The sequence below is a fragment of the Homo sapiens genome, chromosome 1 (genome assembly GCF_000001405.40).
Source record: "Homo sapiens chromosome 1, GRCh38.p14 Primary Assembly".
NCBI classification, from domain to species: Eukaryota; Metazoa; Chordata; class Mammalia; order Primates; family Hominidae; genus Homo; species Homo sapiens.
The window spans coordinates 84,307,015-84,328,996 of NC_000001.11; the positions used below are offsets into that span (position 1 = coordinate 84,307,015).

General features: G+C 37.0%; 1 protein-coding gene across 4 annotated transcripts in view; it reads left to right on the forward strand.

Moving 5' to 3' along the window:
- The window catches only part of SAMD13 (sterile alpha motif domain containing 13), a 52,261-nt gene that overhangs the window by 8,477 nt on the left and 21,802 nt on the right, over positions 1-21,982 (forward strand). For all 4 annotated transcript variants that reach the window (XM_017000377.3, NM_001010971.3, NM_001134663.2 and 1 more), the window contains exon 3: positions 18,623-18,734. In XM_017000377.3, coding sequence (XP_016855866.1) covers positions 18,623-18,734 — 112 coding nt within the window. The remainder of the gene's footprint in view (positions 1-18,622; positions 18,735-21,982) is intronic.

Below are 21,982 nucleotides of genomic sequence, written 5' to 3' on the forward strand. Positions count from 1 at the left end.
TTGGTGTGGTTTCCTTCATGTTTCTTGTGCTTTGTGTTTGTTTGGTTTCTAAGATCTGTGCCTGGGCCTAGTTTTCATCAAGTTTGGAAAATTGTCAACCATTCGTTTTCAAATACTTTTGGTCTCTCTCCCTTTGTCTTTGGGGACTCCAATTTTATGTGGATTTGACCACTTGATATTGTCCCATAATTCATTGATGATTGGTTCATTTTAAAAGTCATTTTCTCTGTGTTTCGTTTTTGATAGCTTCTATTGCTTTGCATTCGTGTTCACTAATCTTTTCTTTTAAAATGTTGAATCTGCTGTCAATTCCACCAATGCATTTTTCATTTCAGACAATGTAGCTTTCATCTCTAGCAGTTCAATGTGGATCTTTTTAAGAGTATCTTCCATGGCACAACTTAACATATCCAATCCTTCCTCTAGCTTCTTGAACATATAGAATATGGCCTTAATAACTCTCTCAATCTCCTTGTCCCATATTATTTGTATTGTTTCTCAGTCAGTTTCAATTAACTGAATTTTCTTGCGTGGTCATATTTTTCTGCATCTTTGGATGCCTGGTAATTTTTGGTTGAATGACAGACATTGTGAATTTTACCTTGTTGGGTGCTGGCTGTTTTTGTATTTCTGTAAATATGCTTGATCTTTGCCCTGGGATGCTATTAAGTCACTAGAAATAGTTTGATCCTTTTAAGTCTTGCCTTTAAGTTTTATTAGGAACAGAGCCGCATTTAGACTGAGGGTATTTTTTCCCCTTTTACTGTGATAAGACCCTTTTTTATATTTTAAGACCCTTTTTTATGCTCCTGAATTGAGATTTTCATCTCTGGCAGGTGAAAAAGGCACTATATCCATCCCTGCATCGTCTCCAAGACTCATTCCCTCTAAACCTTCAAGGTTTGTTCCCCTGCCTCAGGTAGTTTCCTCATATGCAGGTGCTGATCAGGACTCTGCCAAACACTTGAAGGGAACCCTCTGCAGACCTCCAGAGTTCTCTTTTTTTGTAGCTCTCTCCTCTTCAGGACTGACCTTTGCACAGCCTAAAAGCCTTCTTCAGGCAGTGAGTGGAATGGCTTACCCATCTCTCAAGGATTACTGTCCCAATGACCAATGTCTTGTGTACCATTGCCTCATATATTTCATCTTTTTTATTAAATTATTGTTTTAGTTAGAAGAGTAAATATTGCCCCCATTACTCCATCTTGACTGGAAGTAGAAGTTCCATTTAATTTATATAGCCACAGGTTCCTAGTGGCTAGCACTGGACAGGGCAGAGTTAGATTATAATGCAGACTCCAGAAAGGGATAACATGTAGTCTTAAGGCTATGTTGTGGAGGGGGCTGCCCCTATACATTGTAGGATGTTTCTCAGCATCCCCACCTTCTACCAATGATATGCCAGCATTACCCCTCTCCAGCCTTGACAATCAAAAATGTCTCCAGACATTGCCAAATGTTCCCTGAGGGGAAAAATTTTCCTCAATTGAGAACCACAGGCTAACTCTTACCTGAGTAATGTGTGACAGGGTTGCTTCTGGGCATCAGAAAGAAGTTTACATATTTGTACTGGTTATTTCTTCTTAAAACTCTTTAAAGATCATGGAATTTTAAATATTCCAATTTGAAGCTTCTGCTTTCTTTCTTTATATATCATAGAAGAGAAGGGCAGAGAAGAAGAGAGGTAAAATATTAACATTTTGGAGAATCTGGGCAAAAAGCATACGGGATTTTTGTACTATTCTTGCAACTTTTCTGTAAATCTGAAAATTTTTTAATTAAAAAAAAGCCAGTTTATTAATTGAGAAAGAAAATTTTTCTTCCTTTAGGAAAGAAGCAACTCCTAACCCAAATTTGGAGACCAGGGGGAATTAAGCATGACATTGCAATGGCAAGTCTCAAGTTAAGAACACTTGGGTTTGACCTTGCTTTTGTTTCTTAAATAGTAGAATAATATTGAATAAATAAATCTCTTAATTTCTCTCTGCGTCAGTTCTCTTAAATATAAAATATAGAGTTGTTGTGAGGAATCAAAAGGAAACAGTTATAAATTACAGAGTGAAACAGCAGTGATAAACTATATATATTGCAAACTTTTTTTCAAGTAAGTAAACAGAAGCTCAGAGAAGTGAATACTTAAAAATGACATGAGAAAGTGGCAAACCTGAAGTTTGAACCTGGCTCTTCTGACTCCAAGATAACTCTTTTTTCTTCATACAATTTTTGTTTTATAACTATCCTCACTCAGTCCCATAAACTGGAATGAGTTTGGTTTTAAGGAGTCTTGAGGCAGGCTTATTTCAAGGCTGGATCCTGGTTCTTGTGTCGTTGCTGCAAGAGGAGGAAAAGGATAATTGAGACACATATGTCAGGTCTTCTCATTTCAAATTTGTTGACCTAAATGACTGTGATAAATGCTACCTTGAGAATTTTAAACAAATGTCATGCTGGACTCCTCTCCTCAAATTCATTTATTCCTTCTAAAGTCTCCCAGCCTTGACCCACAAAATTCTTAGATCTCTGATGTGGACCCTTGTTCAGATCTCTGTTATTCTGTATATTATGGGTCAATATGATTTTGGCATGACAATCACCAAGGCCTAGATTCTACTTGAACACATTCTGAAATGGAAGAGTAAGTGAACCTTATATTTAATTTTATATTCAGAGTCTTCAATAGTAATAACCAATAAATAAGAAAAGCACAAACAGAAAAATACCAGAGAAAAATGTCCAAAACATGAGCAAACATTTCACAGAAGAGGAAATATATATGGCCAATTAACATATGAAGAGGTGTGTAGTACCATTAGTGACCAAGAAAATGCAAGTAAAGATTATAATGACGTACCCATTCACTTGGCAAAAAATTTAAAATGCGGCAATTCTAATCATTAGTGAGATATGGATAGGATATAATGCTAGTAGGAATATTAACTGATAGGGCAGCTTTGCAGAAGGGTTTGGTATTTTTTCTAGTGTTAAACAATCAAATATTTTATAAATTAACAATTCAATTTCTGGATATATGTATCAGTCAGTGCTGTCCAACAGAAATAAAATCTGAGCCGCATATGTAATTTTCAGTTTTCTAGTGGTCATATTTAAATAGGTAAAATAAATTTTAATAATATATTTTATTTAACTCATTATATCACTTAAACATGTAATCAACATGACATCATCAATGAAATATTTTACATTTTTGTGCTAAATTTCCTAAATCTGTTGTGTACTTTACACTTATAGTAGGGGGGTTCAAACTTTCAGCTTCTCTGGGCCACATTGGAAGAAGAATTGTCTTTGGCCACAGATGAAATACACTACTACTAACAATAGCTGATGAGAAAAAAAAAAATCTCATAATGTTTTAAGAAACTTCAGGAATTTGTGTTGGGCCACAGTCAAAGCCATCCTGGGCTGCATGGAACCCGTGAGCCACAGGTTGGACAAGCTTGACTTACAGGATCTCTCATTTTGGACATAAAATTTTCATTGGGCATATTTAATCTGCATTTGTATTTCCTAAAATCTACAGTTCAAAAGGTAGGATCACATACCCAAATAATTCCAAACATATTTAAAAGTTTTCCGATAACTGAATTATGTAAGAAATTATTTTCTTGTAATATTTACATCCACATTGACAACTGATTTGTCTTGATTCAACTTGGAAGCAAAAGCATATTGATTTCAAAACTATGTCTGTTCAAGTTAAATCAATTTGCTAACACATGTCAATATTACCAACATTGAATTCAAAGGGGTTTTGCATAAATTGATAAGCAACAATAAGCTTATCAATTTCAATAAATCTGCAAATTTTCTTGAAGTTTATTCATGTTAGAAAATGTATGAAATTATTATTGTATATTGTATTGCACTCTGAAAAGTTGCAATTTTAGCCTAAAATTTTGTTCCTCTTTAGCTAGGTCACAAGTCAGCTTTTCATTTCCTTGGAACTTCAAATTTAGCTGTTTCATATGCAGTGTGATATCAAAGTTATTCAGTCGTTTTTGTCTTTAATTTTTGAATATTTGGCCAGGCACAGTGGCCCATGCCTGTAATCCCAGCACTTTGGGAGGCCGAGGCAGGCAGATCACTTGAGGTCAGGAGTTCGAGAAAAGCCTGGCCAACATGGTGAAATCCCATCTCTACTAAAAATACAAAAATTATCCAGGCATGGTAGTGGGCACCTGCAATCCCAGCTACTTGGGAGGCTGAGGCAGGAGAATCGCTTGAACCCAGGAGGCAGAGGTTACATTGAGCTGAGATCGTGCCACTGCACTCCAGCCTGGGCAACAGAGTGAGACTGTCTAAAAAAAAAAAAAAAAAAGAAAAGAAAAGAAAAGAAAAAGAAAAAAAAATTAATATTTGACAAGCATTCCTTCTGTTTCAGTAAAATCTTGAACAGTACAGCAAATCTTTGTAAATCTTTTCCATTACTTAATCAACGTGCATTGGCAAAGAACACAGATTATTACATTCACTGTCTTCTATTTCTTTTAACAGTTCCATTAACTGGGATTGATCCATAGCATTTGCAAATATATGCTGAACAATTCAACAGTAGTATCTGTAACACTTTTCAAGAGTCTGCTTCAGAAAACGGAACATAGATACCATACAGTGGAATGAAGCAGTAAGAAAACACTGGTCTTTTTGTTTTAAAATTACAACAAATTCCAATTCTTAAAATTCAGATCTTTTTAAAAACTAGCATTGCTGAAGCACCATCCATCTGGATAGAATTTAATTTTTGTATATCTAGCTAAAATTCTTTGACAGAGATAAAAGATTTGAAAATATCTAAACCATGAATTTAGTTTTTCAAATTGTAAATAGACATTTCTTTATGAATTAGGAAGTCTTTTGAGATACAACATACCTCAGGCATTGATTAGGCAGTATCTTTATGTTGTACTTTCATCTATAAATAAAGTTTTAATGGCTTTTACATTTTGAATCAGTTGGTCTTAGGTTTTGTTAGAAAGACCTTGTATTCTTCAGGCAATTGTTTGGTGGCTTGATAGGAAAATCTTTTACTTTTTGTGACATACCTCTCTAGTCTTTTCTGATAATATTCTAGCAAAACTTCTATAACTGAAACAACCATATGTCCATTGAAAAATTGTTTTTTTTGTCTATGTAAAGATCCAAGCCATTTATAGCTAAGCAAAATTATAAGCTCAGATTCTGTTTTAAATCATATTATCTTTACCTTTTTTTACACAACAAACAGCATTTTTTTCTCTTGCTATGTTCCAACAAATTGCAATTGCTATTCATCATGAAATTTCCAACATACCTTCTTTCGGTCCCTTTTTTCTTTATTGTGTGTTACTAGTTTCTGCATCTCCTCTCAATTCTGCTCTTTTTAGATTTTAAAATTTTTCTATGCTTATTTTTAACTAAAAATATTTAATTATATAATAATTAAGATAATAACAAAAATGTCAATTTAATTTCCAATTACAATATACAAAGGGATCCTCATAACTCCTGCTGTCCATAAGCGTTCAACAAACATATTACAGTGTTACCTGGGTGAATAGGAAAAAATTAATTTGAACTGAATCAATCTCTGACACAAATCAAACGGGGGATGTACTACCAGAGAGGACACATGAACCTGCCATGAGAACTTCAACAATAGTACCCTATAGGATGGAACAGTTCAAGTAAAATGTAGGCAAAACAAAACAATGGAATTGTGTTTAACATAAACATATTTTATACCACTTCAAGTTTTTACATTGAAACTAAATTAAATTTAAAACTTAGTTCCTCAATCAAACTTCAAATGCTCAGTGGACACATGGTACTAGCTGCTACCATATTGAAAAGCACAGTTATGTACCCAAAATAAATTCTTGCATCAGGGGAAATGTTATATGAACATAAGATTGAGGTTGATGATTAACTCAGGTGGGGAGAGCATGAATGGGGAGCTCTGAATCATATAGATAGACATGATTATTATTAAGATTCCAGATTTTATTTTACCTAGTAGGTTCATGAGTATTTATTTCATTATTAAAAATAGCTACCTAAATAACTAAGATGGAGCCATCTGAATAGTTGATATATCCTTTTTGACAGTTTTTGTGCACATACTCTATGTATCCACATGTATACATAACACAAGAATATATACATATATTCACATGCATTAAAGAATGTACATATATATGGGAGCATACACAAAAATGTATACATATATTCAAAGCACACATACAAATAAGCTTTTATTGAACAAATGGGATCATAGTATTCTCTTTTTTGTGGATTTCAGATGCACAGATTTGGGATGAATTATAAACTTTGGTACGTGACACACTCTTATCATTGATCTGTGTTTGGCCATGTTAGATTCATGTTAGAATTTTGACTAAATTTTTTTAAATCCATGTATTTAAGATGTATGTGCATATATATTCAAATCATGAGAATTCAATTTTTTTTCCCCATTTGCTTAGTCTTTCTCACTCCCTTTTTCAGATGAAAAATGTCTTTTTCCCCCTATTTCATTTTATCCTGGGATGGGAGAAGGAACTGATGTTCCCACATGACAGATGCATGTAGTAAGTTCCTTTTCAACAGGAAGCAGTTTATTTCCCTACCACCACCATGCCCCCGAGCCCCTCAGTGGAGAACTACTGCAGTAGAAAGTTCCCAGTGATGAAGTTTAGCAAGGACTTTCAAAGCAAGCCATTTCTTATTAATGCCACTTCTTTTCTTGCACATGTGTCTTCACCATATTCCTCTGCCTTTGTGTTCAGTGTGTTGTTTCATTTTGAAGCAAAGGCATAAAAAAAATTTTGGAACTAACATTCCTTTCATAATTAGTAATGTGATGCTTTTTTTTCTTGGTAATGAATGTTGTAAGGTTTTGAACTAACTAAAATAATTACTTTTGAAATAGCCCTCTCTGAAACCTAACTGTATACCTGTTAAGCTATGTATTATGTTAAAGAAATTACTATTTTTGCTCATGTGAATTAGAGGATTAGAAAGTGAATGACAGAAGTAAAATATTAAGGTAGACTTAGAAATTATTATGGTATTGCTAGAGTTTCAAAACTCTGACTTTATTGTAGAATTAAAAGAACTTGTATAAAACATTGTAGAAAAGAGAACTTTTCATATAACAATAATAAAACAATGGCTACTATTACTTAGCTCATTAAAAAAAGTCCAACCGTGCATACATGTACAGCAATCTACAGATCAGTCAGGTCTCCATCTCCTTGGGAAGCAGTCACATCTAGAAATGAATAAAAAACCTCACAGGGTACTTGATTGTTTGCCTGGAAGCCTGGTCTGGCTTCTCATGAAAAAAAGGAATGGGAAACCGATTGAAGTAACTATGTGCATGATCACTGACTTCAGCATTTGTTTATTTACTCCTAAGCCTGTCCTCTTGTAGTATAGAGCATAAATAATTATCAAGCCTCAGATGTATCTTCTTTGAAAACAATGAGGGGATTTTATTTAGCTTGCTAGGTAGTTTCTGGGTGATCTCTCCATCAGGCCCAGTCTTGTCTGTTCTGTCCACTCTTCCCTGTCCCCACAGCCTCACTGCCCTCACCCTACCTGAATGCAGTGATGTGTGTGATGGTTCCTGGAATGCTCTTCTTCCCAAAAAAACAGCAATGTGGAAAGGGGTGGGAGGGGGCGTGGCAGTGATCATGATGGTAAGATGTTGTATCCTAAAAGCCAGGGAAACTATTAGCTCCCAAGACATTGTAAGTGGCTAATTATTAAATATCTCTTAACAGTCTGTCAGAAAATGAAAAGAAAGAAACAAACTGAGCCAATAATTCAAACCTGAAAAGTGACCTTTCTAGCCAGGATCTGATGTTGTAAACCGTTTTCCAGATACGTATGATAAGTTAGAGTGTGCTATGGTTCTTCTTTTCCTTCCTTCCTTCCTTCCCTCCCTCCGTCCCTCCTTCTGTCCCTCCCTCCCTCCCTCTCTCTCTTTCTCTCCTTCTCTCTTTCTTTCTCTTTCTTTCTCTCTCTTTGTTTTTCTTTCCTTCCTTCTTTCTTTTTCTTCTCTTTCTTTTTTAATGTGGTAAGAACATTTACTATGAGTTCTACACTCAACAGATTTTTTAAGTGTACGATACAGTATTATTATCTGTAGGCACAATGTTGTACAGCATATCGCTAAAACGTATCCATCTTCCAGGCAGAAATTTTATACCTGTTGATTATCAACTCCCCCTTTCCCCCTTCCTTTAGACTCTGCCAACCACCATTCTATTCTTTGCTTCTATGAGTTTATTTTAGATACCTCATATAAGTGGAATCATGCAATATTTGTCCTTCTTTGACTTGGTTATTTCACTTAGCACAATGTTCTCAAGGTTCATCCATTTTGTTGAAAATGTCAGGATTTCTTTCTTTTTTAAGGTTAAATAATATCTCATTGTATGTATATACAGCATGTCTTTTTTGCGGTGGGTCTCCCTATGTTGCCTAGGCTGGTCTCAAATTCCTGGTTCAAGGGATCCTCCCATTTCAGCCTCCCAAGTAGTTGGAATTATTGGCATGAGCCACCAAGCCCATCTAGTACATTTTATTTTTAAAATTCATTAATCTGTCAACGGACATTTCAGTTGTTTCCATATCTTGGTGAATAGCATTGCTGTGAATATGGGAGTACTAATATCTCTTTGAGTTCCTGATTTCAATTCCTTTGGATAAATACTCTGAAGTGGGATTGCTATGTCACATAGTAGTTCTATCTTTAATTTCTTGAGGAATCTACAGTTCCATAGCAGCTTCCCCATTCTGCATTTCTACCATTTCTACCATAGTATACAAAGGTTATGATTTATTCACATCCTTGCCAACATTTGTCATTGTTGTTTTGGTAATAGTATCCTAAGAGGTATGAGATGATATCTCATTGTGGCATTGATTTGCATTTCCTTGATGATTGGTGATTTTGAACCTCTTTTCATATATATACATATTGGCTATTTGTGTGTCTTCTTTTCAGAGATATCTATTATGTCCTTCGACCATTTTTTCAATTGAGTTATTAGTTTTTTTGCTATAGAATTGTAAGCATTCCTTATATATTTTAGAAAGTAACCTCTTATCAGATATATAGTTTGCAAGTATTTTCTCTCATTCCATAGGTTTCCTTTTTACTCTATTGAATATTTCCCTGGCTGTATAGAAGCTTTTTAGTTTTATTTAGCCCTGCTTGTTTATTTTTGCTTTTGTTGCCTATGCTTTTTGGTGTCATATCCATGAAACTATTGCCAAAACTAATGTCTTGAAGCTTTCCCTCTGTGATTTCTTCTAGAAATTTTACAGTTTCAAGTCTTATGTTTAAGTCTTTAATCCATCTTGAGTTGATATTTTGTGTATGGTAAAAGATAATCCAGTTTTATTCTTTTGCATGTGGATATCCAGTTTTCCCAACACCATTAGTTGAAGAGACTCATCTTTCTCCATTTTGTGTTCTTGGCATTCCAGTCAAAGATCATTTGACCACATATCCATGGATGTATTTCTGGGCTCTCTCTTCTGTTCCATTGATCTATATGTCAGTCTTTATGCCATTGCCATACTGTTTAAATTACTGTTACTTTGTAATATATTTTGAAATCAGGAAGTGTGTTGCCTCCAACACTGTTCTTTTTCAAATTGTTTTGGCTATTCAAGATCTTTTCTGGTTCAATATGAATATTAGAATTTTTTTTCTATTTCTATAAAAATATCATTAGGATTTTGATGGGGATTGCATTGAATCTGTGGATTGCTTTGGGTCATATGGAAATTATAACAATATTAAATCTTCCATCCATGAACTTGAGATGTCTTTGCATTTGTTTGTGTCTTCTTTAATTACTTTCATCAATGTTTCATAGTTTTTAGTATGTATGTCTTTCACTTCCTTAGTTAAGACTATTCCTAAGTATGACGTTATTGTAAATGGGATTGTTTTCCTAATTTCCTTTGCAGATAGTTCATTATCATTGTATAGAAATGCAACTGATTTTTCTATGTTGATTTTTGTATCCTGCAACTTTGCTGAATTTGTTTATTCATTCTCACAGGTTTTTTTGTGGAATCTTTAGGGTTTTCTCTATATAAGATCATATCATCTGTAAATGTAAGGACAGTTTTACTTTTTCCTTTTCAATTTGGAGGCTATTTATTTCTTTGTCTTGCCTAATTGCTCTGGCTAGGATTTCCAGTCCTGTGTTGAATAGAAGTGGCAAGAATGGGCATCCTTGCCTCGTTCCTGATCTTAATGGAAAAGTTTTCAGTTTTTCACCTTTGAGTATGATGTTAGCTATGGTCTTTTCATAGATAGCCTTTATTAGGTTAAGGTAATTTCCCTCTATCCCTACTTTGTTGAGATTTTTTTTTTATCATGAAAGGATTTTGAATTTTATCAAACACTTTTTTTATCTTAGACGATCGTGTGATTTTTATCCTTCATTCTGTAAATGTGATATGTCACATTAATTGATTTTCATATGTTGAACCGTCCTAGGAATAAATCCCACTAGGTCATGGTGAATGATCTTTTTAACATACTGTTGAATTCGGTTTGCTGGTATTTTGTTGAGGATTTTTACATCTATGTTCAATCAGGGATATTGGCCTATAATTTTCTTTTCTTGTGTGTCTTTATCTGGCTTGGTATGAGGGTAATACTGACCTCATAAAAAAAGTTCAGAAATGTTCCCTCCTCTTCAATTATTTGGAAAAGTTTGAGGATTGGCATTAATTCTTCCTTAAATGTTTGGTAAAATTCTCCATGAAGCCATCTAATCCTGGGCTTTTCTTGTATGGAAGATTTTATACTACTGATTTAATCTCCTTACTAGACAGGTCTGCTTGGATTTTCTATTTCTTCATAATTCAGTCTGGTGGGTTGTATGCTTCTAGGGACCTATTTCTTCTAGACTATCCAGTTGGTAGACCTGTAACTATTTATGGTAGTCTGTATGACCTTTTTTACTTCTGTAGCATCAGTTGTAATGTCTTTTTCATTTCTGCTTTTATTTATTTGAGTCTTCACTCTCTTTTCTCTTAGCCTAGCTAAAGGTTTGTCAGTTTTGTTTATCTTTTCAAAAGCCCAAGTCTGAGTTGATTTTATCTTACTGTTTTTCTATTCTCTATTTTACTCCTTTGTCCAATTTCTTAAGGTAGAAAGTTAGGTTGTTTTATATCTTTCTTTTTTTAATGTAGGTATTTGTGACTATAAACTTCCCTCTTAATACTGCTTCTGTTTCATTTCATAAGTTTTGATATGTTGTGTTTTTGTTTTTATTTGTCTCAAGATACTTTCCACTTTCACTTTTGATTTATTTGACCTATTGGTTATTCAAAAATGTGTTGTTTAATTTCTATGTATTTGTGAATTTTTCAGTTTTCCTGCTGCCATTGATTTCTAGTTTCATTCAATCAAAAAAGATATTTGGTATAATTTCATTATTTTTATATTTGTTAAAAATTGTTTTGTAACCTAATATGTGATCTATCCTGGATAATGTTCCATGTATGCTTGAAAAGAAATGTATATTCTGCAGTTGTTAGGTTGAATGTTCCTTATATGTCTGTTAGGTTCACTTGGTCTACAGTGTTGTTCAAGTTCACTGTTTCTTTGTTGAATGGTTTCTTGAATATTGATAATATACGGGAATTAATAGTGATACTTGTAAATGGCACTATTTTATTTTTCTTACTGAAACTAAAATTCATTCCTTGATATGTTATAGTTATCTGTTCATTCTGATATATGGTCTCATGATAAATAAGTCTTTGATTATTCCCTTCAATTAAATGATAATGGATTAAGAATTGAGTCTGTTTATTATTTTGAGTTATACTGATTTTTCCATTGCAAATAACTGCCTTGAAGTGTACATTTCAAGAGTAAAGTGTATAAAACTATACAGTCAGTTAAACATATTAAAACATCGTATTTTAAATATGAAAACAAAAGGAGTTTCAATCATTGCCAGCAGAATTCACAGACATTGACTATATATCTTTTATACATTGTCAGCCCTCAAGGACTGCTGTTTCTTATATAGTTTCTTTCTTGCTATTGAGATCCCTACAGAAGGAAAACCAAGTTTCTCTAAGCAGTGAAGCCATACCCAAATCCTTTGGAACAGAGACCATTGTGCTGTGGCTCAGAGCAGGGAGGAAAAGTTCTTCAGGTAGTCTTTAGACTGTTGTGTTTAGTATTAATGATTAGGATAAGAAATGTTTATGTTTGTGTTTGGCATGAATTGTATCTGATAGTAAACAAAAAGTATTCATTGAGTCTGCTTGAAAGGAGTGTTCTTGGCCAGGTGCAGTGGCTCACACCTGTAATCCCAGCACTTTGGGAGGCCACGGCAGGTGGATCTGAGGTCAGAAGTCAAGACCACCCTGGCCAACATGGCGAAACCCCATCTCTACTAAAAATACAAAAAATACAAAAAATTAGTCAGGCATGGTGGCATGCTGTAGCTGTAGTCCCAGCTACTTGGGAGACTGAGGCAGGAGAATCGCTTGAACCCAGGAGGCAGAGGCTGCAATGAGCTGAGATCCCTCCACTTCGCTCCAGCCTGGGTGACAGGAAAAGAAAAAAAAAAAAAAAAAGGAGCATTGTTATTTACACTAGAGGATTTTATTTGTACTAGAATGTACAGATAGAAAGAGGAAAAGGAAAGGAGGCTGTTTGTAAGATCCTTTGTTTTCAGAAAGATGGGTTGGGAAGACATTCCAGGCAGAGGTATGCCAAGGACAGAATGCTGTATGATTTCAGAGGAAAACCATTTGCCTGAGGGAAGATACCTATACGGAGGAAAGAAATTTTGCAGGAAGATGTTCCATCTGTCTGGAGTGCCTGCTCCTAGTCTTACTGGTGACCCAGGGCTCCAAAGCCTTTCATCCACACACCTAGCACAGCCTGACTCACATTGCCATGTTGACTTTCCATCCTTCTTTCAACCATCTATTTCCCCCTTTCCTTAACCACTTTTTGGAATAGAGCAGGAAACAAACATCATGACCTTCTTCATCCCACAACTGACCCGAGATTATCGTCTTCATTAGACTATGAGTTTCCAATGCTTATTAAGTGCCTGGCTCATAGTAGACAGGTTAAAATTAATTAAGGAGAAATTAAACTGGTTTCTTTATAATGAGCAGGACTAATCCCTGGAAGTTGAACAGAAAGGGTTTGACTGACATAAGCAAAGCCACGGGTATGGGAAAGTCTAGGATGTTGCCCAGTTAGGTTTGAATCAAGCATCTGAACTCTAAGCTAAAGAATTTGGAATATATAGAAGGTTTGATGAATTATTTGCCTTTTCAATGCTTTCATCATTTTGATGTGATGCAGCTAAGTCAGTCAACTCTTATTTATCTGAATATTTAAAAATGAAAAATGTTCTGTCCAGAATCTTTGAATCATCCTTTCTCTTTTTGGGCCTGCCATTTAGCCAGATCCCTGCTTGTTAGCATGAAGGGAGAGGGAGAAAGGAACGGAAATAACGCTAATGCTCATTTAGTTGCTTCATCCTCAGGTTTGTCATAGGCAAAGAGATCAATATTAATTTATTAGAATCAGAATTAAATTGCTTTTAGCCAGAGGCTGTTTTAAGACATGAGCAAAGAATAGGTTAATTTCATTTTGAAAATAAGTTATAAATATCTAGGCAGCACAAAGTTAGAGTGCACTGCTCAGTGTAAAAATAAGTAACAGAATTAGCCTTATAAAAAAAGTAATGTGGCAAATATATCATCATAATATGTTAACCAGTGTCTAAAGTAACTTGCTCTGAACTTTGAAGTGGAAATACAATTGATGAATATAATGGAGTTGTGATATTACATGTGGATTGCATTTACCCAGAGTATCCTTTTGGCCTGAACAACTCTCAGCATCCATAATGTCATAAATACCATAAAATGTACAGATGCTAGATTTAGAAAAACAGTTTCAACTATTTTCTGCCTGCCTTCTTACAAAGGGAAATGGAGACTTTTGCTGCCAGAACTTAAAATTATGATGTGCCAACATGAAAACCTCATCATAAAGGCTCAATTGATCTGCTTGTATCTGCCAAATTTGTTATTATTGCATTTCTGTCCCCGTGGTTGTGTCTCTTTAACGCTCATTAAAAATCAGGTGATTGTTTAATTAGGGTATAATCATTTCCTAGTGTGAATTATTCACCCATGATATAATTTTTATCAATACTTGATGTACCTAACCATATGCACAAGGACTAAAAGGTGACTGGGCTAAATGGAAACATTGATAATTTGATTAAGTGCTGAGATTTCTTGCTAATTTTTAATAATAAAGCTATATATAAATATATATATTAAAGATTCTGTGCCTGGAAAATGCTCATACATTTATCATATTAACATGTATTATATTCTAAGAAACATTTTGCTATGACGTTAGTGAATAATAAATATCAAATGAAAGGGGCACTTTTGTATTTGCCATTTCATTTTATCAATGCAAAATTAGCAGCCACAATGGAACCACCACCTGTCAGGTATTTTAAACAGTGACATTTAAATTCCCTCTGGAATTTGATATGCATAGGTCATAAGAAAAGATGTGGCGAGAATGGACCATTTATAAGGAAATAACTAAAGCTAAGTGTCTCAATTTGGACAAAATATCAGTCCTTGGGGAGACATATTGTATTCCTAGCAGAGAATGGTGCTGCTTAAATCTATCCTCCAGTATCTTCCCATGTCAAATGTTATCTGGCTTTGGCCCTCTGGCTCCTGCCCCGCACACCCTTCCACTTGGCTTACGCTTGTTATGTTATTTTGGATCATCACCAGCTTTCTCCTTAAAACTGTTGCTGAAACCACTGGAAGAGCCCAGTGAAATCATCCATCGTGCATTAACACGAGCAACCTAGAAGTGATGGTTTATGCCCGTGGAGACGTGCCTCTGCAAGCCATCCCCACTCTGGGGCCCCGCTCAGAGAGTGTTGAGGGCAATAAATGCCTTTTTAAACTGCCATTGAAAATCTTCAAGTGTTCTAGGCAGGCGGAACTAACCAGCCCTCCCTTACGTAAATACGTCCTCAACAGCACTTTGTTCACCCCTCGATTCGAATATTCCTCAGAGCTAGCTGTTTCCACATCTGGTTTCCCTCACCAGATTGCCGGCTCCTTGAGGGCAGGGACTATGCATTCCCTGTCCTTGTAACCCTGCATCTAGCATAATACTGAGAAGACAGGCTTTTAATAAATATCTGTTGTGTCAATGAATAAGTATAGTGGAAAAAAAGCAGAGACTTGGAGGCAAGCATATCCGGAATCCAATCCTAGCTTTATCTACCATGCTATTTGGGGTGTGTTTCTTAACCTTTCTGAGCCTTCGTTTCCCAAAAGCAGGTTACAGTAGCCAGTTCACAAAGAGGTGGGAGGCTGATACTGAGTAACGTGTGAAAAACAGATTTTAAGTTGTAAGTGCTCTCTGGTTGTTAGTCCATTGTAATACTTTGCTGTGTATCAACTGTGCACCAGTCAGACTGTGCTAGGTGCTGGTGCTACAAAGATGAAGATAGGTTTTTCTTCTCAGGATATCGATAGTCTAATGTGATTTTTTTCCTGGTTATTTTGGCTTTGGGGGGATATCAGGCTTTTAAACTTAGGTAGATCAATCATTAAATGTATTGGTTGGTTTCTAACCCCTTGTTTCTTCTGGGTGAATTCCCTTACCCTCCATATGAAAGAGTGCCCCGTTCCACGTTGCTGCTATTCATGGTACACTGCCAGCAGTTTTACAAGTCTTTCTTCTCTGTGGCATTGCTATACTCAAGAATATTTCAAAATTATGGAAGTCATGATGTTATATCCCACTAGAATAAAAATCAGGAAAGCCTCCCATCTTAAAATTACAATGTAGCTTATTTTGTTATTACAATTGAATATTCTTTTTAAAATGTTTTATTTTAGGTTTGGGGGTACATGTGAAGGTCTGATAACTATTCTTGGTGAGGAAAGGCGACTAACTGAAGTCAACCACAGGGAGATTGAATTCAGATGTTTTCTGGGGGCACTTAAAAGTGTGTTCGATGGGACTCTGTGTTCACTACCAGAAGTGAGCTAATTAGAAAACTGAAAAGATTTGTTGGAACAATGAACTCCTTTCTGAACATTCTTCAAGGACACCTTAAGAGAGAGGGAAGGAAAATGGTAGCTTGAAGAGGGTCCTCAGTGCCAGTTGCTGATTGCTTATGTTGCTAGTGTATGGAAAATTCCAGCACATAGATAATTTTTTTTAAAATTTACTATTGATTTAAAAACACATAGTTAATATTTAGTAACATTAGGGTGAAAAATAGTTTTCTTCTCGATGTATATTGCCTGTTAAATGGTAGGAAGATTGTGTGTGTGCATGTGTGCATATGGGTATGTGTGTATACAGGCATGCAGTGGTTATAGATTCACCATCTTTAAGCCCAAAAGAGAAGACATTTAGAGTATTGGCTTTAGGTGTTTTTAAATTAGGTGCTGTTGAGAAATTAACGATCACATGTGCCATCGATCAGTGACTCCCTTTAACTAGTACAGAAGTTGGTTTGGTTTTCTTAAATCAAATATTTTAGGTTCCTGCTATGGGCAAAACATTATGCTGGGGGATGAGGTGGCTGGATCCTTGACTCTTAGACCTTTAAAGACCTTCAGAAATCTCTCCAAATCTAGCCAATTTTGTTTCCACTAAAAGTAACCTGGATGTTTTCAACTTCCACTAAATATTGAACCTCTCAAGCTTAGTTCTAGGCCCAGCTCTCTTCTCCTCCTCTCTCAAGATTTCAGTTACTGTCTAAATGCCTCTGTCTCCCACAGGTGTACCTAGCCCACTCTTCTGCTTTGTGCTGTAGACTTATAGCCCACATTAAATCTCCACTTGGATATAGACAGTACACCAAATTTAGCATGTTTAGCTGGATGGATGTTACCACCATCCATCCAATTCCATGACACTTCTACTCCCTCCATTCTCTATGTCTGGTCTAGCACTAAGTTACACTGATTTTATTCATTAACTCTCTTTTAAATCCACACACTCCTCTTGTTTTTCACATACACCACCCTAGTCTACGCATGATCTCTGGGTTGCATGACTGCAATAGACTTCTCACTGGCTTCTTCCCCACTGGCTCCTCTCCAGCATCCTCTTTTTCAAAATGTGAATCTGATCAGGTCACCCCCTTTACATAGGACCATTCAACAGCTCCTCATTGCTCTTAGCAAAAATCCAGAATCCTCAGTGTGGCCTCCAAGACCTGCATGGCTCCCTTGGCTGTATGTGTTTCTGTCACAGGGCCTGGAATATTCTTCATGTGACTTCTTCATACAGTTAATTTCTGGCTGTCTTTTAGATCGTACCTGAAAAGAAACTCCCACGGGAAAGCTTCCCCTATCCCTTTAACTATCATAGTAAATGATGCTTGTCCTTCTTAGCATTTAGCATAACTTGCCGCTGTACATTTACTTGTATGATTATTGATCAGTGTCTACTCCCCACAGGACTGTAAGGCCCGTAAGAATAAGGGTGGTGTCTGTTTTGCTCTCCAGTGTATTCCTAGTTGGAGAGAGGAGAGGCTTTGTCCTGAGGGACCTCCAAAGCAAAGTTAGGCTATGTGATTGGATGTACACTCTGGGAAAATCATCTTGGATGAGGTATAGAGAAAGCCAGACAAATACTCCCAACGCAGAAATGAGGCAGAGTCCCAGTAACTGCAGGTCATTACCAGTCTTTCTTTATTCTACTTCTCCTTTCCCTCCTCTCTGAATCCAATGAGGAGCATTACCCATAGACCCACTCAGACAAATGCTTGATTGTTATCTTGTCATCTGTTTATTTATTTGAACAATATGGGTTAAGTTCCTAAGTACACACTTGATACTAGGAATAATAAAATGAGAAGTGGTCCGGGCTCAAATGCATTTCTCCAACCTGCATCTCCCACTCTAGTGGGAGAGACTGTTCAATAAACAGAGGGTATAATTCAGTGTGGAAGGTGCTACAATGGGAGTTTGAATGAAGTTCTAGAAGTCAAAGGAGGTTATGACTAAAACACACCCTTGGAAGAGCCAGAAAAAATGCTTCAAAGAGGAGGTAGTTTTGTATTGGTAGAAATGGTAGAGTTTTGTCCAATAGAGACAGGTGTGGGGGCATTGTAAGTGGCTGGGACAGAATGTGCAGAGGCTCAGATCTATGAAAGGACTTGGCCTATTGTGGAAGGGCTTTATCCCTAGATGTGTGGGGATGGGGCTAGGGAAGGTGTTAGGAAGACAGGAAGAGAGAGCGGTATGTTGAGGTCATATCGTAAAAGGCCAGGTGTTCTGAACTCAGAAGTATGAATATCATACTCTGGGCTGCCAGCAGTCACTGGACCACTCTCAATGTCTCTGGATTAAAAACCAGAGGAAATAATTTACATTAAATGTCAAATGGTTTATTAGCAGTGACTAAGCCAGTGAGAGTAATCATCATCTGAACCCAAAAAACATGAAAGGCCTGTCCCAGAAGACCCATTTGTGAGCCTGGCCACACCCTTGTGCAGGCACTGCCATGACAACTGTCTGGATTTGTGTTTTGCAGTTCCATGGAAAATGGGAGACCACCTGATCCTGCAGACTGGGCCGTGATGGATGTCGTCAATTATTTCCGAACCGTGGGATTTGAGGAGCAAGCTAGTGCTTTTCAGGAACAGGTAACTTGGTCTAGAGAAACACGTGATGAACATGTGATGAACCCACAGTTACCTCCCTTCCCAACAGTGGGCAGAAGGGAGTGAGGAGGAAGAGGACCAAAGAGCAGGGAGGAATCAGTGAGGCTCTGAGAAACTGAGGGGAAGGAGAATGGATGTACCAGGTGAATTATCCCTTTGTGCAAGGGGAAAACTCAAAGCCGGAGACAGTGGCAGCTGTGGAGAAGAAGGCTAAAGCTCATTTACATCTGTGTCCTCTGAAAGACTGATCATACTCAAGGGTGGAGTGAATCAGCCCTACCTTCAATGAAAACACACTAGAAAGCAGGAAACAGAAAAGAAAGGAAAAGCAGGGACAAACCTGACTGAGAGACATACACCACCTCCTACTACTGGCCTCAGCACCCAATGGACTATTAAGCCCTTTGCAGTTTGCTTTCTGGGTGCTTAGCAAGGTAGAGTGGAAAAAGCACAGGATTGATAGTCGAATCCTGGTTCTTCTATCTCTATGTGACCCTAGGCACGTTACTATGTCTCTCTGAGTCTTGGTTTCATATCTATAACATCAGACTGTCAATAACTTTATAGGGATGTTGTTGTGAGGATTAGTGGACAATATACACACAGTGCCTATGATAGGTTCTGGCATAGTGTTGATACTCAAAAAATGGGATTTCCTTTTCCTCAGGTCCAGGGATGGTATTAGAAAGAGGGAGAAAGTGGCAGGAGTCCATCCCAATTGTCTAGGTGATTCATAGCTCCATGTTGCAGGCTGTGCTAGGTTTGCAGGGTTGGTCTTCAAGGGGCTTTGACCTGAGGAGGCAAGTGGGGGCAACACAGTGTGGTTCACACCAGGCCAGTTCTGTGGGTAAACACAGAGTTCCTATTTCTCTACCAACGAAGGCTGCAGTTTTCTAAGCATTACATTTTCTTTTCTAATATCATAATATTGTAGGGAGAATTAAAAACTGAAAAATGTGTCTGGCTGCTTGTTCCATATCCCTTCAGCCATTGTTCATTCTCTCAAACTATTAGCTGTATGGCCTGAGTTTGGATAAGGTAAACTTTTCTAAAATTGCACACGCCAATTTCTAGATTTCCTTCAACCTATATTTACTTCAGACTTGATCTTTGTACATAAGTATTTTTTTCCTAATTTGGAAAACTTGCTAAAATAGCAGCTTAAATTTCTTCATACCTACCAGAAGAGCTAAAATGAGAAAGGTTGATAATATTAAACATTCACGAGGATGTGGAGCAACTGGAACTCTTTTGTTGTTGGTGAGACTGTGAAATCAACATTCAGACATCTACCCCTTGATGCAGCAGTTTTACTCCTGGGTATTTACCCAAGGGAAATGAAAACACATGTCTGTAAAAAGATTTGTACAAAATTGTTCTTACTAGCTTTATCACAATGGTCAAAAATTTGAAGCCTAGGTGTACATCAATAGGAGAATGAATACACAAACCGTGATATATTCATACAGTGGAATACTCCACAGTAATAAAAAGGAATGAACTACTGTTATGTGCAGCCATTTGCATGAGTCTCAAAAACATATTACTGATTGAGAGAAACCTTACATAACTGAGTTCATACTGAATGGTTCCATTTAGATAAGGTTTCAGAACAGGAAAATCAATCAGTGGTAAAAAAACAATCAGAACAGGGGTTGCCTCTGGCTGCGTGGGGGTGGAAAACGACTGGGAAGGAGTATGAGGGAAATTTCTGGGTGATGGTAACATTCTGTATCTTGATACAGGCTTGGGTTACAGGTATGCATGGGTCACTGCTTGCTAATACACAGGCATATGCAAATGATTCAGGTTTGTGCATTACAGAACATACACATTTTACTTCAAAAAGAAAAGAACTATGAAAAACACCTAAACAGTGGTATAAAAACAGAAGTGTTTAGGGTAAAGTATACTGATATATACAAGTCAATTTAAAATGCATCAAACATATGCATTGGCAATTAAATAGAAGGGTGACTATGTGGACATATATGTGGTAAAGCAAGTACAGGAAATGTTAATTGTAGCATCTAGGTGTTCAGAATATGGGTATTTACTATAAAACTCTGATGAGTTTTCTTTATGTTTGAAAAACTTTTATGAATTGTGATGGAAAAAACTGCTCAGGTTGGAAAGTGGAAGGCCGCTGATCAGCTGGAACATATTTTATTTTGTTTTTCACTGGTACAATGTCCATTTGTGTCACAGCAATTGAATAGCACTCTTCTAAAATTAAATGTAGATAATATTGTAAATGGTTAACAAAAAAATACTTAGCTAAAAGGTCTCTTGGCCAGATTCCCAGCTGACCAAAAGCCCTTTGCAGGTTGAGCTTTTGCTCAGACTCCTTGGAGGCAGACATCCCAGACTGGGGGCACACGATGGTCTCTGGACCTTCCAGGTTCTGTGACTTACCTCAGAAATGGGACTGCCAGCTCTGAGCCTGGCCCACGAGCAGGCACTTTCTCCCATGGATGATCTCATTCTGTCCCAATGGACACTGGGAACCATAATGGGAATAAACTCTTCTAAAGCATTTCATTCAGAAATCCTTCAAGGGAGAAGTGAGCATCGTCTTGCTACTATGTTCAACCTGCCAACTCGGAAGCCTGAGAAATGAATTCTCAAAGGATCAGAGTTTTGCAAGCATGGTCCAGAAGCTTGAGTTTCTTCATTCTCATGGAAGGGTGATTGGGTCAGGGAAGAGTCTGCCTTGAATTTGTCTCTGGCAGTGATTCAAATATCGTTTCTCCTTTTCCCATTAAAGGACTGGAGGGCAGGGAGGGAATCACTGGCCAGGCTTAGGATGGTAAGATAAGTCGCTGCTGTGATATTCATGAGGACTGAGGATTGGATCCTCTACCATGTTAACCTGCCTCTTCCATCATCACACTACAGAGGGCATCAGCATTTTACCTCTGGAGTCTTCCTGGCAATGAACCTAGTTGGTTAGCACCCACTCATCATCCTGATTAGAAAATGCAGGCCTTCTCCAGCCCAAGCACATGGCCCTTCCAAGGTACATGCAGGTACATGCAAGGTCACAGCGCTGAGAAACAATTAGAACAACTGCCTCCTTAAACTCTCCTCAGGAAAGCTTTGCCCTTCCACTTGACAGAAGCAGGACAGGGATGGAGAGCATCCCCTAAACCACTTTTGAAAAGGGCAAGTCCAGAAAGGGCAGCACGGTTGCCAGTGATGTGGGGAGCTTATTGTTTCATGGCTATTAT